The 16825-nt window shown below is 42.6% G+C and overlaps 2 protein-coding genes and 2 long non-coding RNA genes across 38 annotated transcripts in view, besides 3 other annotated features; 3 read left to right on the top strand and 1 right to left on the bottom strand.

Moving 5' to 3' along the window:
- Positions 1-14970, bottom strand: part of CDKN2B-AS1 (CDKN2B and CDKN2A antisense cis and trans regulatory RNA 1) — a 133352-nt gene extending 118382 nt beyond the window's left edge. For all 32 annotated transcript variants that reach the window (NR_185867.1, NR_185859.1, NR_120536.1 and 29 more), the window contains exon 1: positions 14600-14970. This is a non-coding gene — a long non-coding RNA (CDKN2B and CDKN2A antisense cis and trans regulatory RNA 1). The remainder of the gene's footprint in view (positions 1-14599) is intronic.
- CDKN2B (cyclin dependent kinase inhibitor 2B) lies at positions 448-6858 on the top strand. Of its 2 annotated transcripts, none has more exons than NM_078487.2 (2): positions 448-1086; positions 3514-6858. In NM_078487.2, the coding sequence occupies exon 1, from the start codon at positions 808-810 to the stop codon at positions 1042-1044; it is 237 nt and encodes a 78-aa protein (NP_511042.1). In that variant the 5' UTR covers positions 448-807; the 3' UTR covers positions 1045-1086; positions 3514-6858. The 2 variants fall into 2 exon arrangements, with proteins under 2 accessions (NP_511042.1, NP_004927.2); NM_004936.4 differs by having other exon boundaries at positions 456-963.
- Positions 915-1114: a silencer, noted in NCBI's record as "silent region_19815". NCBI's record gives its function as "represses an Ori minimal core promoter by ATAC-STARR-seq in GM12878 lymphoblastoid cells {active_cell/tissue: GM12878}" and the evidence as "EXISTENCE:reporter gene assay evidence [ECO:0000049][PMID:35858748]".
- CDKN2A (cyclin dependent kinase inhibitor 2A) overlaps positions 14437-16825 on the top strand; it is a 27573-nt gene continuing 25184 nt past the window's right edge. The window contains exon 1 of one of the 3 annotated variants that reach the window (NM_001363763.2): positions 14437-14940. Coding sequence is in view for 1 of the 3 variants with exons in the window: in NM_058195.4 (NP_478102.2) it covers positions 15430-15622 (193 nt within the window). In the remaining 2 variants the exon portion in view is untranslated. Of the gene's footprint in view, positions 14941-15126; positions 15215-15368; positions 15623-16825 lie in introns of those variants that run through there. The other 2 variants (XM_047422597.1, NM_058195.4) reach the window with 2 other exon arrangements.
- Positions 14517-14716: a silencer, noted in NCBI's record as "silent region_19814". NCBI's record gives its function as "represses an Ori minimal core promoter by ATAC-STARR-seq in GM12878 lymphoblastoid cells {active_cell/tissue: GM12878}" and the evidence as "EXISTENCE:reporter gene assay evidence [ECO:0000049][PMID:35858748]".
- Positions 15037-15296: a silencer, noted in NCBI's record as "silent region_19813". NCBI's record gives its function as "represses an Ori minimal core promoter by ATAC-STARR-seq in GM12878 lymphoblastoid cells {active_cell/tissue: GM12878}" and the evidence as "EXISTENCE:reporter gene assay evidence [ECO:0000049][PMID:35858748]".
- Positions 15733-16825, top strand: part of LOC124902130 (uncharacterized) — a 13529-nt gene continuing 12436 nt past the window's right edge. The window contains exon 1 of the long non-coding RNA XR_007061436.1: positions 15733-15875. This is a non-coding gene — a long non-coding RNA (uncharacterized LOC124902130). The remainder of the gene's footprint in view (positions 15876-16825) is intronic.

Below are 16825 nucleotides of genomic sequence, written 5' to 3'. Positions count from 1 at the left end.
TGGGGATGAATTTAACTTGTATGACAGGTGCAGAGCTGTCGCTTTCAGACATCTTAAGAAACACGGAGTTATTTTGAATGACTTTCTCTCGGTCACAAGGGAGCCACCAACGTCTCCACAGTGAAACCAACTGGCTGGCTGAAGGAACAGAAATCCTCTGCTCCGCCTACTGGGGATTAGGAGCTGAGGGCAGTGGTGAACATTCCCAAAATATTAGCCTTGGCTTTACTGGACATCCAGCGAGCAGTGCAGCCAGCATTCCTGGCGGCTCCCTGGCCCAGTCTCTGGCGCATGCGTCCTAGCATCTTTGGGCAGGCTTCCCCGCCCTCGTGACGCGTCGGCCCGGGCCTGGCCTCCCGGCGATCACAGCGGACAGGGGGCGGAGCCTAAGGGGGTGGGGAGACGCCGGCCCCTTGGCCCAGCTGAAAACGGAATTCTTTGCCGGCTGGCTCCCCACTCTGCCAGAGCGAGGCGGGGCAGTGAGGACTCCGCGACGCGTCCGCACCCTGCGGCCAGAGCGGCTTTGAGCTCGGCTGCGTCCGCGCTAGGCGCTTTTTCCCAGAAGCAATCCAGGCGCGCCCGCTGGTTCTTGAGCGCCAGGAAAAGCCCGGAGCTAACGACCGGCCGCTCGGCCACTGCACGGGGCCCCAAGCCGCAGAAGGACGACGGGAGGGTAATGAAGCTGAGCCCAGGTCTCCTAGGAAGGAGAGAGTGCGCCGGAGCAGCGTGGGAAAGAAGGGAAGAGTGTCGTTAAGTTTACGGCCAACGGTGGATTATCCGGGCCGCTGCGCGTCTGGGGGCTGCGGAATGCGCGAGGAGAACAAGGGCATGCCCAGTGGGGGCGGCAGCGATGAGGGTCTGGCCAGCGCCGCGGCGCGGGGACTAGTGGAGAAGGTGCGACAGCTCCTGGAAGCCGGCGCGGATCCCAACGGAGTCAACCGTTTCGGGAGGCGCGCGATCCAGGTAGCTGGGGCCCCAGGGCCTCGCCGGCAGGGGGCGCGCGAACGCGGGGCGCGGCCTCGGCGGATCGGGGCTGGAACCTAGATCGCCGATGTAGATTTGTACAGGAGTCTCCGTTGGCCGGAGGTGTGCATTCCACGCGTAAAACAGGCTTTTACCCAGCAAAAATCCTAAAGAGAGACATTGAAAAACCCACTGTTTAAGCTTTTTTTAGTGGTTTTTGTTCTGCCATCTCATGATCAGAGATGCAAGGAATAGACTGAATTGGGGAGAAAAGGAGAAAAGGAAAGCTTATTTAGGGAAGAAGATTATCTTGTCTGTCTGCTTTCAACGATAAAGATAAGTAAAGTATAAGTTACGCATTCTAGATTGGATTTAAGGAATTCTACAAAATCATAGTACATGGAAAAAATCAATGTAAACTTCTAAGCTACTATATGAAATCTGTTGTATTGTTTTCTCATAGAGGTTAATTGAGAATGAGACGGGATTCCTCAACCACAGTACTTAGTTCCTTTTATGTTAGCAGTGTCTTATGAGTGATGCATAAGAGAAAAAATATATAGTTCTATAGGTTTCTCATTCTTTAATTATCATACTCAGTGCCCAGATTACAAAAATATTCCTGCAGCAACTGTTAGGTCCTTTTTGAATGGCAAAGGATCTTCATAAATAATGCATCTTTATCTTCATTGTTAAAATACACTTATTCAATGTTTAAGTACGAATCCTGCTTTAATTAGTACTGATATTTTTTATTTCTTTTACAATCTCGGACAACTCTTTTGTACTTTACCGTTGGCTAGTGGTCATATTCAGTACTCACCTCACTATCACCCTCTAAAACTAAGCTAATATTAAGGGATCTTGTTAATAGTATAGATTTTAAAGAAGTGTTCATTTCTTTTGAATTCTTAGAATAATGGTATAACAAATGAGGGATTTTTAAAGGAGCAAAAATATTGTAAAGTGCATCTTAAAAACTTAAAATTTTATTAATAATTATAAAAACAAGTTATATATGTAATTCACCATTTTCTGAAATACTAACAGCAGCTATTTTCCCCTTTTTTTCTATGTAAAATATCCTTACATCACTAGTAGATATAACTTATCACGGTTTTTAAGAGATGAAATGAACATTTCTAATATTAATGAAACAAGCCAACAAAACATGAGAAGTATACTGCCTTTCAATTAAATGGTATATTTTAAAGTGCATAAACCCATAACAAATAACTCGATTTTAGACATTTAGTTACCAAAAATTGTCTTATAATTGACTTTAAATATGACAGCAAATGTTTTCATAATGTTCATGTACACAAATGGCTGCTACAGGATTACTCCTGCAAAACATCATTTTTTCTAAGTTATGCATCATCCTGATTGACTGCTAACATCCAAGCTCTATTTATTTATTTATTTATTTTATTTTTTTTGAGATGAGGCCTCACTCTGTCGGACAGGCTGGAGTGCAGTGGCACAATCTCAGCTCACTGCAACCTCTTCCAGGATGCAAGCGATTCTCCTGCCTCAGCCTCCTGAGTTGCTGGGACTACAGGCACGCCCCACCATGCCCAGCTAATTTTTTATTTTTTGTAGTAGAGACGGGATTTCACCATGTTGGCCAGGCTGGTCTCGAACTCCTGACCTCAGGTGATCTGCCTGCTATGGCCTCCCAAAGTGCTGGGATTACAGGCATAAGCCACTGGGCCTGGCCCAAGCTCTTTTTATATAGCAAAATATTTACTGTTTAACATTTTTAAATCTTAGCTATTATAAAATCCTGTAGTATACAAATATAGTTAGTTTTATATTACATTAAAAATATTATAGTCTAAATTTAAAATGATGAACTGTTAAGGAAAAATCATTTATTATAATTTTATAAGATTTTGCATGATTTAATTTACTTTTCCCTTCTAATCTCCAACTTTGGCTCAAATTATCACACTACAAGCCAGTTATGAGCTCAGACACATGACAAACAAAAGCCTTCCGCACGGGATTTGCTATGAGAACTAAATAAATTAAAAAAAAAAGAAAGAAAAAAACTTAGTTGTTTATTTTCTCCCCTAAACCATTACTCCCAACTTCTAACAAACAGTAGTTGACTACCTAATAAATATTTGTAGACCTGGATTATGGAGGAGGGGTCAGCAAGGCAAATAATTTAAAACTTTAAAAGCCGAATAAATTTAACTCTGCCCCTAAATCATTTAACAAAATAGATTCCCATGTTCCAATGGAAATCAAGATTTGTTTTTCCATAATGATGATCATCACTTTACCATCAACTTTCTTGTCTCTGCACGTTTAGAGAATAAAATGGCATTTAATTTGTACTGAGTATAACCTGAAGGTGGGGTGGGAAAGTGGATTGCATCAGCAAATGAAGAAACACCAGACATCAGAGACCTGAACACCTCTGCACTGGGTGAAAACTTTGCAATTAGGTGTTTCTTTAAATGGCTCCACCTGCCTTGCCCCGGCCGGCATCTCCCATACCTGCCCCCACCCTGGCTCTGACCACTCTGCTCTCTCTGGCAGGTCATGATGATGGGCAGCGCCCGCGTGGCGGAGCTGCTGCTGCTCCACGGCGCGGAGCCCAACTGCGCAGACCCTGCCACTCTCACCCGACCGGTGCATGATGCTGCCCGGGAGGGCTTCCTGGACACGCTGGTGGTGCTGCACCGGGCCGGGGCGCGGCTGGACGTGCGCGATGCCTGGGGTCGTCTGCCCGTGGACTTGGCCGAGGAGCGGGGCCACCGCGACGTTGCAGGGTACCTGCGCACAGCCACGGGGGACTGACGCCAGGTTCCCCAGCCGCCCACAACGACTTTATTTTCTTACCCAATTTCCCACCCCCACCCACCTAATTCGATGAAGGCTGCCAACGGGGAGCGGCGGAAAGCCTGTAAGCCTGCAAGCCTGTCTGAGACTCACAGGAAGGAGGAGCCGACCGGGAATAACCTTCCATACATTTTTTTCTTTGTCTTATCTGGCCCTCGACACTCACCATGAAGCGAAACACAGAGAAGCGGATTTCCAGGGATATTTAGGAGTGTGTGACATTCCAGGGGTCGTTTGCTTTTCAGGGTTTTCTGAGGGAAAGTGCATATGAAATCCTTGACTGGACCTGGTGGCTACGAATCTTCCGATGGATGAATCTCCCACTCCAGCGCTGAGTGGGAGAAGGCAGTGATTAGCACTTGGGTGACGGCAGTCGATGCGTTCACTCCAATGTCTGCTGAGGAGTTATGGTGAACCCACAACTTAGGCCCTAGCGGCAGAAAGGAAAACCTGAAGACTGAGGACAAAGTGGAGGAGGGCCGAGGTGGGCTTCAGTAAGTCCCCGGCGGCGCTTTAGTTTGAGCGCATGGCAAGTCACATGCGTAAACGACACTCTCTGGAAGCCCTGGAGACCCTCGCCCAACTCCACCAGATAGCAGAGGGGTAAGAGAGGATGTGCAAGCGACGACAGATGCTAAAATCCCTGGATCACGACGCTGCAGAGCACCTTTGCACAGGATGCTGGCCTTTGCTCTTACTACACTGAGGAGAGATTCCCGCGGGTTCCGCAGGCAGACTACACAGGATGAGGTGGTGGAGTGGAGTGAGAGCAATTGTAACGGTTAACTGTAACGTTTTCTTTCACACACACACACACACACACACACACACATGCTAGGATGCGGAAATCCCCTTATGACTTGCTACTTTTTGATTTTGTGATATTTTGTACTTTTTAGTTGTTCAGCAACTGTCTTATTTAATGGGGAGATTTTAAGTAACATAACTAGTGGCTCTCAGTTAAAATGTGAGGAAGAACTACAGCTCTTAAATGTAGCAATGGCACTGTTGCAAACTCAGTGCAAACGCCTAGATTGCTTTCTTCTTAACCTATTTATTTCTTTGTTAAATTTTTCTGATTGTTTCCTTTATAGAGTGTCTCAGGGTGCAGAGGTCAGACTAAGAAATATTCCAAATGTCTTTTAGAAGATAGATGCACTTATGCAGTAAATTATCTTGGGATAGTTCCCAAAAGATTGCTGAAAAAGTAGATTGAGTATAAAAACTTGAAAATATATGATGGCTCGTGGGATGTCCTACTATCACTGAACAAACTAAAGGTGCACTGCTTTGGGATTTAATTTCCAGGGTTGCTTGATCATTATATCATTGGAACAACTGATACTTCACTACTTTAATAAAGAATTAACAGAGATTGAACTCCAAGAGGTGGGTAATTTGGTTTAAAAATACATGTTCATGGGTTTACCACTAACTCCTGAGAAATGTTAAAGGTTCACAGGGGTTCCCTTCTCTCAATGTTTGTAATAATTGCTCATAAGCAATACCAGCAATTCATAAAAACTGCTTACTTATGCCATAGAAAATTAAACACAAAGTGTATACATGTATTATGCTTCTAAATGCTCATTCTACCAGATACACATTTAAAAGAGAAAAAAGGAACAGAAACAAGTCATTTGAGAGTGGAGACTTATAAGAAGGAGTACATTTGAGTTGAATACACAAATCTTTACTTCTCTACCAATTCCTATTCCCAAAATGAACATATTACTGGGGAAAGTTAGTTGAGAATCAGAGCATATGTTATTGGGGAAAGGATATGTTTATTGACACATAATCTGTACCAGGTATGCATTAAAATATATTTGTTAATTTAATATTTAAACCTGAGAGATAGGTATTGTTTCCCAGATGAGGACAATGAGGCAAAGAAATATCAAGTAACTTGCCAAAGGTTACAAGATATTCATTCCATGGATGCACAAAGAAGTGCATCTAGTTCCACAGCTGATTATGGTTGTCTTGCTTTTCTTCCCATTGCACCAGCTTGTCCTCCAAAATCATGAATGATACACATGAAGATAACTTTTTTTAAAAAAAAGCAGAAATACACAATGATCTCCCTTGTAAGCTCCTAAGGTGGCTTTTCTTTCTCTAACTTCTAGTAAATATAAACGGTTTGTTTGAAAACTATTTTAAAATGTCAACAATATGGAGAATAACCCCCCCCAACACACCTATAAAAACCCAAATTTTTGGAACAAAGATAATGGAACCTCCATTTTCAAACTGAAGCACAGGGACAGAAAATATATTTCTAGTTATCACTTAAGCACTCAATCATTAGAGGCTACAAGAATAATATTTTTAAAGTTACAGTATTTTACAATTATTAGAAAACATTCTATATAAAAGAAGTCAGTTGATACTTTAAAATCTCCCATTTGGTTTATAAAATCCCTTAATTTGACCTCTATATCTTAAATTCCAAGATGTTTAAATTTGCTAGTTGCATTATACTGGGTCATGAAAAATTATCCCTTGAAATAGATATGAAACATGTTACTTCATTTCTGGTTTAAATAACTTGTGGAATCTTTCCTAATGACAACCTGATATTAAGGGAAACTAAAGAAAATGTTATTGTGGATCCCACAGTACTATATTACACTGTTTTTTTTGTTTGTTTTGTTAGTTTTTTTTATTTAAAGCAAACCTCAAACATTATTGGGTATCAATTACCACCTGGTTGTATTGAAATAGTAACTTATCAATGCCATGTAAAAATTAATTCCATTTTCGAAGCCACCTGGCAGACAGGTTTAGCTGTTTCATCAGCAGCCTAATATATACTGTTAAATTTGTTAAGGATTTCACTTTGAAGGATACATGCAAAACATATAGTTACTATTTTCATGAGTCCTGCTTCTAGCTCCATTGTGGAATACAGAAAATTAAATATACCTGTTAAGTTCGTATCTAAACCTAAGACATTACCAAGGTTTGTACAAATTCTACTACCTGACATTTATTCCAAGAAGATCTGGAAAGTTAAATAAATTTATAAATTTAATAACATTCATTTGGCTTCATTTTTATCTTTTATTTTTCACCTAAGTGGATGAATTTTTTAAAGGGTGTTTTGCTGTTAAAGCAAAATCTATGTAAAATTTCCTATGCCTTAAATGGTTAAAATTAGTAATTTCATAACTAAGGAATGAAACAGTTTCAAGAGGAGAGCTCGAGACTGATAAAACCCCAAACGCCTCTGGGAAAATGTATACTTAGGAATACTTTCATGATATTTTATTTCCCTAATATGGCAAGCACAATATTGTGACCAGCACCAAATAATTTATCATATGAAGCTAGGTAACTGATCTTCAGCAAATATATACAAAAACTAATTTCATTTACACTTACACTGAGATTGCCCTCCCTTTTTTGAAAATATTAACACACTGTGTGCATTGATATGTAATAGTCAGTAGGGTTTTTTTTTCTTTTTGCTGATTCTATAATTACCCCTCAATTATTTTAAACAGTAAAACATATACTCATTTTATGCTTTACCAGAGATGGATTTTTTAAATCATAGAGCATAATTTTTACAATGTTCAATACATTGCCACTCTATCAAAAGTGGAGCAAGTAGAACTAATGATATGCAAAACTTAGAGACATTATCTGAAGAAGCACTCATGTGAACTACCTACTGGGGCAAATGTGAAAGCCAGTATCTTCTAAAGTACAGTGAGGTCTGCCCTCATGTTTTATGTCAGCAACTAATCATAACCAAATTCTGACACGTTTACTAGATTTTCAGTATTAACAGAAACTGTCTAGTTATTTGATGAAAACTTGGAGAATAATGCTTAGGTTGGTGTAGTTCACAGTGTTCAATTACTAAGCTACAAAGAGATACCTAGATACACAATCACACATATATGAAAATAAGACAATTTTAATTTTAGAAATTACTTAAAGGGGCAACAACAGTTGAGCCTCAATACTTTCAATATTTTCCTATTCTACTTATAACGACAGGAAAGAAAGAGGGAATGAAGAAAAGTGAAACAAGGACTTGACTGGAAGATAGAAGACCTAGATTCCCACATTGGTTCCTTAACTAATTCAATATATGAGTGCTAACTCATGTAACATCTCTACTACTATCCTTCATACCTGAAAAGTTTCTATAAAACGTTTCTCAATTTCAGCTATCCAAATGAAATTACTCCTTTCTTGCCTCTTAAATTCCCTACTCAGAAGATTTTAATGTCATTCCTTGCGTAAGGAAAAAGAATACTTCATTTTACAGAAACACAGTAACTTTCACATATAGGCCCTATTAATTACATAATAAAAGAAAATATGAACTAATACTAGTGCCACTAATTAATAATATGTAATTGGCATGGATTGTATATTAAGCACAGTAATGAAAATTAATGTATGGGTCAAAAAGCACCAAGCCTGACTTACTAATTTGTGGTGTGAACTAAATGTAAAACAAAAGAGTTTGCTGGAAAAAGAACTAAGAACAATGTATTAAGATGACACACTGACTACCTCACAGCTATTCACATTACACTAGAAGTTTACAAAGGACCCCAAACACCTATTAATCCACTTCACACTCAGAAGCCCCTGGCATTAGACTTCCAGTAGATATATGGAGTCAGCTCTGGCACAGAAAATATTTTACAACAGAGTTCCACTCAAAACTTTAAGACCAATTACAGTAAGTAAACCATGTCTTATTTCTCATATTTGGCCTCCTCCCCAAATGCATAATCTATCTATCCTCTCATTATCAATGTTCTCTATTATGATGTTGTTGGGGCTACTTCCTCTGAACCCTGTCTTATGTGACCTCTGGGTCTCCATTCCATTTTAAACGAATTCCCATCTGCCGTCTATCTATGCACAAATTCTTCCATCCCCTTGGCTAAAACCTTTTAGTCTTGGCTAAAAACTGGGTCTCCCTGATAATTCCATTCCACTTCTTTCTGCGCCAGATACTAGGTACTGAGCTATGGATAACAGAGTAGGAGTCAGGACCAAGAATGAGTGTCTGGTATTTAGGTAGCTCTCAATGTAATCCCAAACCAAATATGTAAGGATAATCCATTGTTCTTCGGGTTTCTCTCTTCTCTTAGTATAAATAAGATACTTGCATTTTTTCTTTAATTAAGCTGCAAGTACTGTTATTGTTTGTTATTATATATTTTAGAATATATTTATAAGCAATAATACACAAACATAAAAGAAGAAACAGTTTATTCTGTTCAAAAACCCACAGACAAGTCAGCAGATTATTGTCAACACAGAGTTTTCTTCTAGAGGGTGACTGTTGTAAAGATGTATATGGCATGGCTCCTCATTCCATCTGAGTTCTGAGTTTCTAAGCTCTATCACCTTTCCTAGGGCACAGAGGCACCCTCTCACCATTCTCAGAATCTCCTGCCAAAGTGCCACCTATAATATTTTCTGAAAAACATTTGATCATCCTCTATTATTTGCTAATCTCTGGACTGCCTTTGATAGTTAGACTTATCACAGTAAGACTATTCCAAAATTAGTAGTTTTTAATATGTTTAAATACCACCATAAACAGAAAGATTTAAGGTCGTCCCCTTTCTAGGGAAGCATACCACTTTATTATACATTTGCTCCCAAGTATGTCTTATGTCTATAAGAATGGTGTTTGCCTCAGTAGTCATTTGAGGACAACAAGTTTAAAACCCCTTCCATTTCAGAAAATTGTTTCTCAATCCTGGCTCCATGTCAGAATCACCCGTGAGGATGTTTTAACATTTAGACTTGTTGATCAGCTCCAGGTCTACAAAATTAGAATCTCTAGGTTTGAGCCCCAATATTCCTGTGGTTGTTATTTAATAATTCTTGCTCATGGTAAACTTTCAAACAGTCCAGAAAGCAAAAAGTAGTAAGCAAAAATCTGAAATTTTTCCCACCCTCATTCTTACTACCCAAAGGTAACCACTATTACAAATATTTAATTATCCTTCCAGAAATATAAGTACATATAATTGCAAACATCTCTCCCCCAGCATGCATATTTGGAAAACATGAATGGGATCATACTATTCTGTCACTTGCTTTCTTTAATTAGCAATAGATCTTTGACAACTTCCATTGTCAGTGCATATAGATGTGCTTCATTATTGTTTATGGATGCACAGTTTTATTATTTTATGAATGAGCCCTAACAACAACAACAACAAAAAAAGTCTCCTCACAAGCATGTCAATCATTTTTCTCTTTCTTGCACTTTGTTTGCTAATACACACTGCTATAAAGAAACATTTCTGCATACTTATACAAGTTATCTGTAGCAATTTATATAGGAGTGAATTGCTTTAGCTGAAGTTACATATCTAAATGTGTCTGTAGGTGTAAAATCTATCCATATATACATATGTATCCATACATAAAATACATATATACATATGTATGTATATATATGTGTACATGTGTATACATCTTCCCATACTTACAGATATGTGTGTACATATGTGTATATAAAGATATGTATTATATATGTTACATACATGAGTTATAGGAATAGAATTGCTGAGTCAAAGGGTGTATATAAGTATATAGATATATACACAAACATATAACATACATATGAACTATATATACTATATAGTATATATGTGTATATATATTTCCATACATTATTTGTGTGTGTCTTTACATACTTAAAATAGTGGAATAGCTGAGTCAAAGGGTACCTATATTCTCATACAGTTTTGACTAGATATTGTAATGCTGCCTTTCAAAACAATTACACCAAGTTGTAATAGTAAGAGTGATTGTTTCCTGACAACTTTGTCAAAGTAGTCTTTTTTCTTTTTGCCACACTTGTGGTTATATGCCATTGTTTCTGTTTACATTTATTAATGAGTAAGATTATCTTTTTATTTTTTACTATTTGCACATATTCTACTATAAACTATTATATCCTTTGCCTTTTTTATTGGATTGTTGTTTTACTGGATTATGTATTTATTTATATAGTCTAGTAATTAATCTTTTGACATATATGATCAAATAATTGTTTTTTATTCTTGCTTATGTTATCTTTTTTCTTATGACTTTGGGGTTTTGAGTTTGAGCATGTGCAATGTTAGGAAAGTTTCTCATGAAATTTGGATAATCAAGAGTTACCTAAGGGATAAAGCTAGTGTCATAGGACATTAAGTTTGGGGAGGAGGAGAACAAGACAAGGGATATTCAGTAAGATTTTTCTCCCCTATCCCTGCCTATGGAATGAATTTGCTGATCTAAAACAGAAAATTATTTACCCCTGTTAAAAAAAACTCAATTAACTCAGGTTTTTAGGCCAGTGGAAGAGAACCCCAAAAACTTCCAATATTCAGTGATTCTGTCTGCATAAGTGACCCACAGATAACTCACTCCCTATTGACCCTGGCCTTTGGGACAACAGAAAAGGCACAAGGCTTGTAACCCAAAGGCCTGCCTGATGATTCCAGCCCTGGCTCTTGCTGGCCATGAAGTGTTCAAGATTTGAGCCTTTCTAGGCCTCATTCTTTCCACCTGTAAAACAGGAGTAATAATCCCAATTTTGAAAGGCCACTGTGAGGATAAAATAAGTAATATAAGTGAAATTACATGCTCAGTTCTTCATTATTAATTTTTTGAAGAGCACATAGCCAATAGTCACTCCGCATTCCAAAAGTATTTGGAATACCACATACCCATTGTTATGCTAGAAAGAGTCATCTTCACCATTGTATTTTGCTGAGACTAATATTAAACTTAGAATTCCCCTGCATACTGCAACTGAAAGAGAACAGGTATTGGGCAGCGGCAGTGGGGGAAACCAAGATGGAATTTAGATGTTCAAACTTTAATATTTACATTTTTTGAACAGAGAGCTTACTATATAATTATCCTTTTATTCAGATGGCATTCCTCTGAAATAAGCAATTACCCTTATCCCTAGGTCTAGTTCCTGTGGAGAGAAAATGATTATACTTTGAGCTATATGGCTCCAATAAACAAAGATAGATCCCTCAATTTAAATTTGATCCTCAGAAAACTGAGGGTCAGAGAACCCCTCAGGCATGACGGGATAATGTGACAGTTAATTTGGTATGTCAACTTGGCTAGGCTGTGGTACCCAGTGTTTGAGTCAAACACCAGTCTAAATATTGCTGTGGAGGTATTTTTTAGATATGATTAACATTTAAGTCAGTAGACTTGAAAAAGCAGATTATCCTCAATAATATGGGTGGTCCTCATCCAAGCAGTTGAAGAGCTTAAGAGAAATGACTGAGGTCCCTCAAGGAAGAAGAAATTCTGCTTCCAGATTGCCTTTGGATTCAAGTCTTGCAACAACAACTCTTCCCTGGGTCTCCAATTTGTCAACCCCCACCATTTTCTGAGACAATTCCTTAAAATAAGTATTTTCTCTCTTTCTCTTTCTCTCTCTCTCTCTCTCTCTCTCCCTCCCTCTCTTTCTCTCCCCCACATATGTGTGTGTAGACATATAATGTACGTATATATAAAATTGTATACACACACAGAGTCATGTGCTGGATAACGATGCTTCAGTCAACCACAGTCACATATTGGTGGTGTCCCATAAGATTATAATGGATGTGAAAAATTCCTATCCCCTAGTGATGTCATAGCTGTCCTAAAGTTGTAGCACAACATACTACCTTTTCTATGTTTAGATGTGTTTAGATATAAAACTACATTTTGTTACAATTATCTACAGTATTCAGTATAGTAACATGTTGTAAAGGTTTGCAGCCTAGGAGCAATAGCCCATACCATACAGCCTAGATGTATAATAGACTATACCACCTAGGTTTGTATATGATGTTTGCACAACAATGAAATCGCCTAAAGATACATGTCTGAGAATGTATCCCTGTTGTTAAGCAACCCCATGACGGTGTGTATATACATATACATATGTGTGGTACTGGCACGCACACACACACAATGGGTTCTGTTTCCCTGGAGAACTGACTGATATAGATAGCGACTTCAAAAGATGTTTAATACGTGCCTTTTCTCCTTTCCCCACCATGCTTTATTGCAACAACTAGTTACATTGTCTAGGCCCAAGAAACCCTCACCGCTCCCACTCCATTCCTCCAGTATCTTTAAATGACACTATGCTGGCATCCGACATCGTTTTTCTTCCAGGATGAACTAACCCTTTCTAAAGCGCCCTTCCTCTGTGGGACAGAAAACCTAATGCCCCCCTACAGAGGCGGAGGCCGGCTGAAGGTGGTGGTAGGAGGGGAATGCTGGGGGCGTGGCATAGGTGCAGAGGAAGACCCATAAAAGGATCTGGTTCCCATAGAGCTGACATTCTACACAACAAACAAGTAAACAAGTACATAAGTAAAATAATCTCTTCGTCCTAAGTGCTATAAAGAAAAAAATCACGGTGGTATGAGGGTGCCTGAAAAGGGAAGCATTTCTGAGGAAGGGCTACTTACTTCAGAAGAGACCTGAAGGAAAAAGAGCTATATTTGCGAAGAGGGAGAAAGAGCAGCCATACTAGACAGAAAGGTGGCATGTGGCCCCAGCACAAAGCACGGTGTTGGGTAAATTCTGAGTGAAATCTACCTACCGGGGAGGTGCATTTGTAAATATCTAGATAGATATTTAGAGTGGCTACGTAAGAGTGATCGCTAAATCTCACTTTTTCCAAAGGGCCCCGTTTTGTCTTGGGTTTGTACCGAGGTCCGGCAGCAACGTCAAGTGATGGGGCGGGGGATGGGGAAAGAGAAGTCTGCCGCTCCTCTAGGCTACCGCACCGCCTTAAGTGGGTGGCTCGGCCAGTGCAGGCCTCACTTTCCTCCCCTGTAAGGTCTGGGGGGCTTGACGTCTGATCTGTAAGGCCCTGTCGGCTCACGCTGTGGTTCCACTTCTTCAACTAGGCCACTAGGCCCAAGCGCATGAACAGGAAGCCACTGAGAAGCGGGCCACATTTCCAGGTTCCCGGAGCTGGGCCTAGTCCCGAATCCTCTGGCACACACCCACCCACTCAGGCCGCGGGTCCAGCCCGCGAGGTTTAGGACGGATCCAGGCAGACCGCAGGCTCCGGGTCGGGGCACCGGGTCAGCGCGCCGGCCTGAAGGCGGCGTCCTGGGCTCGACTTCCCGCGCGCGGAGAGCCGGCGAGCCCGCGTCCGAGTTCCTGGACGAGAGCCGAGCCTCGCTTAGACCGCGCTCAGGACCCGGCTCCTCCGCATTCTCCGGCTGCCCCTGTGTCCTCGACTCACCCCTCCTTTCTGCCGCTCCTTCCTTTCCTTGCCCTGCTTTTACTGTTCCCAAACAGGACCGCTTTTCCTGTCTCCCAGCTGGAAAGGAGGAAGGGAGAGAGTCCAGAAAGGATCGGTGATGTGGAAGAAAAGGGGAGGAGGGGACATGGAGGGGGAGACCGGAGAGAGAACGTACGCCGAGGAGTCAGGCGGCGGGATCAAGGGGAGTCGGGGTGTCTGGGCGCGGGGCAGAGCGTGGAGGCGGCAGCGGCCAACGGTCGCCAAGACAACCATTCTACGCGAGGACGCGGCGACAGGAGGGGAGCGGCCAGCAGGGGAGGGGAGCGCGGGGGAAGAGGAAAGAGGAAGAAGCGCTCAGATGCTCCGCGGCTGTCGTGAAGGTTAAAACCGAAAATAAAAATGGGCTAGACACAAAGGACTCGGTGCTTGTCCCAGCCAGGCGCCCTCGGCGACGCGGGCAGCTGGGAGGGGAATGGGCGCCCGGACCCAGCTGGGACCCCCGGGTGCGACTCCACCTACCTAGTCCGGCGCCAGGCCGGGTCGACAGCTCCGGCAGCGCCAGCGCCGCGCCGTGTCCAGATGTCGCGTCAGAGGCGTGCAGCGGTTTAGTTTAATTTCGCTTGTTTTCCAAATCTAGAAGAGGAGCGGAGCGGCTTTTAGTTCAAAACTGACATTCAGCCTCCTGATTGGCGGATAGAGCAATGAGATGACCTCGCTTTCCTTTCTTCCTTTTTCATTTTTAAATAATCTAGTTTGAAGAATGGAAGACTTTCGACGAGGGGAGCCAGGAATAAAATAAGGGGAATAGGGGAGCGGGGACGCGAGCAGCACCAGAATCCGCGGGAGCGCGGCTGTTCCTGGTAGGGCCGTGTCAGGTGACGGATGTAGCTAGGGGGCGAGCTGCCTGGAGTTGCGTTCCAGGCGTCCGGCCCCTGGGCCGTCACCGCGGGGCGCCCGCGCTGAGGGTGGGAAGATGGTGGTGGGGGTGGGGGCGCACACAGGGCGGGAAAGTGGCGGTAGGCGGGAGGGAGAGGAACGCGGGCCCTGAGCCGCCCGCGCGCGCGCCTCCCTACGGGCGCCTCCGGCAGCCCTTCCCGCGTGCGCAGGGCTCAGAGCCGTTCCGAGATCTTGGAGGTCCGGGTGGGAGTGGGGGTGGGGTGGGGGTGGGGGTGAAGGTGGGGGGCGGGCGCGCTCAGGGAAGGCGGGTGCGCGCCTGCGGGGCGGAGATGGGCAGGGGGCGGTGCGTGGGTCCCAGTCTGCAGTTAAGGGGGCAGGAGTGGCGCTGCTCACCTCTGGTGCCAAAGGGCGGCGCAGCGGCTGCCGAGCTCGGCCCTGGAGGCGGCGAGAACATGGTGCGCAGGTTCTTGGTGACCCTCCGGATTCGGCGCGCGTGCGGCCCGCCGCGAGTGAGGGTTTTCGTGGTTCACATCCCGCGGCTCACGGGGGAGTGGGCAGCGCCAGGGGCGCCCGCCGCTGTGGCCCTCGTGCTGATGCTACTGAGGAGCCAGCGTCTAGGGCAGCAGCCGCTTCCTAGAAGACCAGGTAGGAAAGGCCCTCGAAAAGTCCGGGGCGCATTCGGCACTTGTTTTGTTTGGTGTGATTTCGTAAACAGATAATTCGTCTCTAGCCCAGGCTAGGAGGAGGAGGAGATAACCGCCGGTGGAGGCTTCCCCATTCGGGTTACAACGACTTAGACATGTGGTTCTCGCAGTACCATTGAACCTGGACCTCCCTTCACACAGCCCCTCAATCGTGGGAAACTGAGGCGAACAGAGCTTCTAAACCCACCTCAGAAGTCAGTGAGTCCCGAATATCCTGGGTGGGAATGACTAAGACACACACACACACACACACACACACACACACACACACACACACACAGTAGGAAAGGTGTATTTCAAGCACACTTTCTTTCTCCTTGGGGAGAATTATTGCTAACCATCTAAGTTTTCTGGAGGCGGCCTTTTTTCTCCCCAGCCTCCCGGCGGGGTCACCCTCTCCCACCTTCCAGGAGAGTGGAGGACCCGTGAGATACGGGGCACGCAGGCAGCGACTTCCTGAAATGCTAACAAGGATCGTAGGATCAGTTACTGCTGCGAGGAGCAAGCACTTGCTTCTTGGGGGAGTTTTGCAGCCAACAGGGAAATGGGCTTTCTTTGTGAGTTAGAGGTAGAGGTCCGGCGGCCTGAGTGATTGAAACTGCTCGGGACAATGCTCGTATGTTTAGCAAACGACAGAACTGTAGAACTGTTCCTGAGAAATCCCAACTGATAGTATTTTAGTCATCTCAGACGACAGTTAGCACAGTTTAAAAATGAGGCCTACTTCTTGAAAAACAGAATCCAAGGTAGTTTTGTCCTCACATTGACAAATGTTGACACAGCCAGTGTAATTTCCTATAACCAGGAAAACTGAAAGAATATATGTACAGTTAAAATATGTACAATGCTAATTAAAACTTGTGTAATAAGTCTAAAAGTAATTTAATGAGGCTTCACTTTTATGACCGTCCTTGTGGTATGCTTCGCCAGGAATATATAGCTTCAAAAAGCAAAGGCCAGCGGAGGGGTAATTATTTTTTTACTGCAATGTTAATTGTCTCTTTGACATGGAAATATAAACCTGTTAAAACTATCAGTGTTTAATTTAGTGTCTCAATTTCTATTAGCAAAAATTTATAATCTATAGGATAAATGCACATTTTATTTTTTACTTTTCATATTATGCAAGTTAATTTTTTTAATT

This window comes from Homo sapiens, chromosome 9, assembly GCF_000001405.40.
Source record: "Homo sapiens chromosome 9, GRCh38.p14 Primary Assembly".
NCBI lineage: Eukaryota > Metazoa > Chordata > Mammalia > Primates > Hominidae > Homo > Homo sapiens.
Note: the sequence above shows the minus strand (reverse complement) of the source record. Positions and strands in the feature narration are given on the sequence as shown.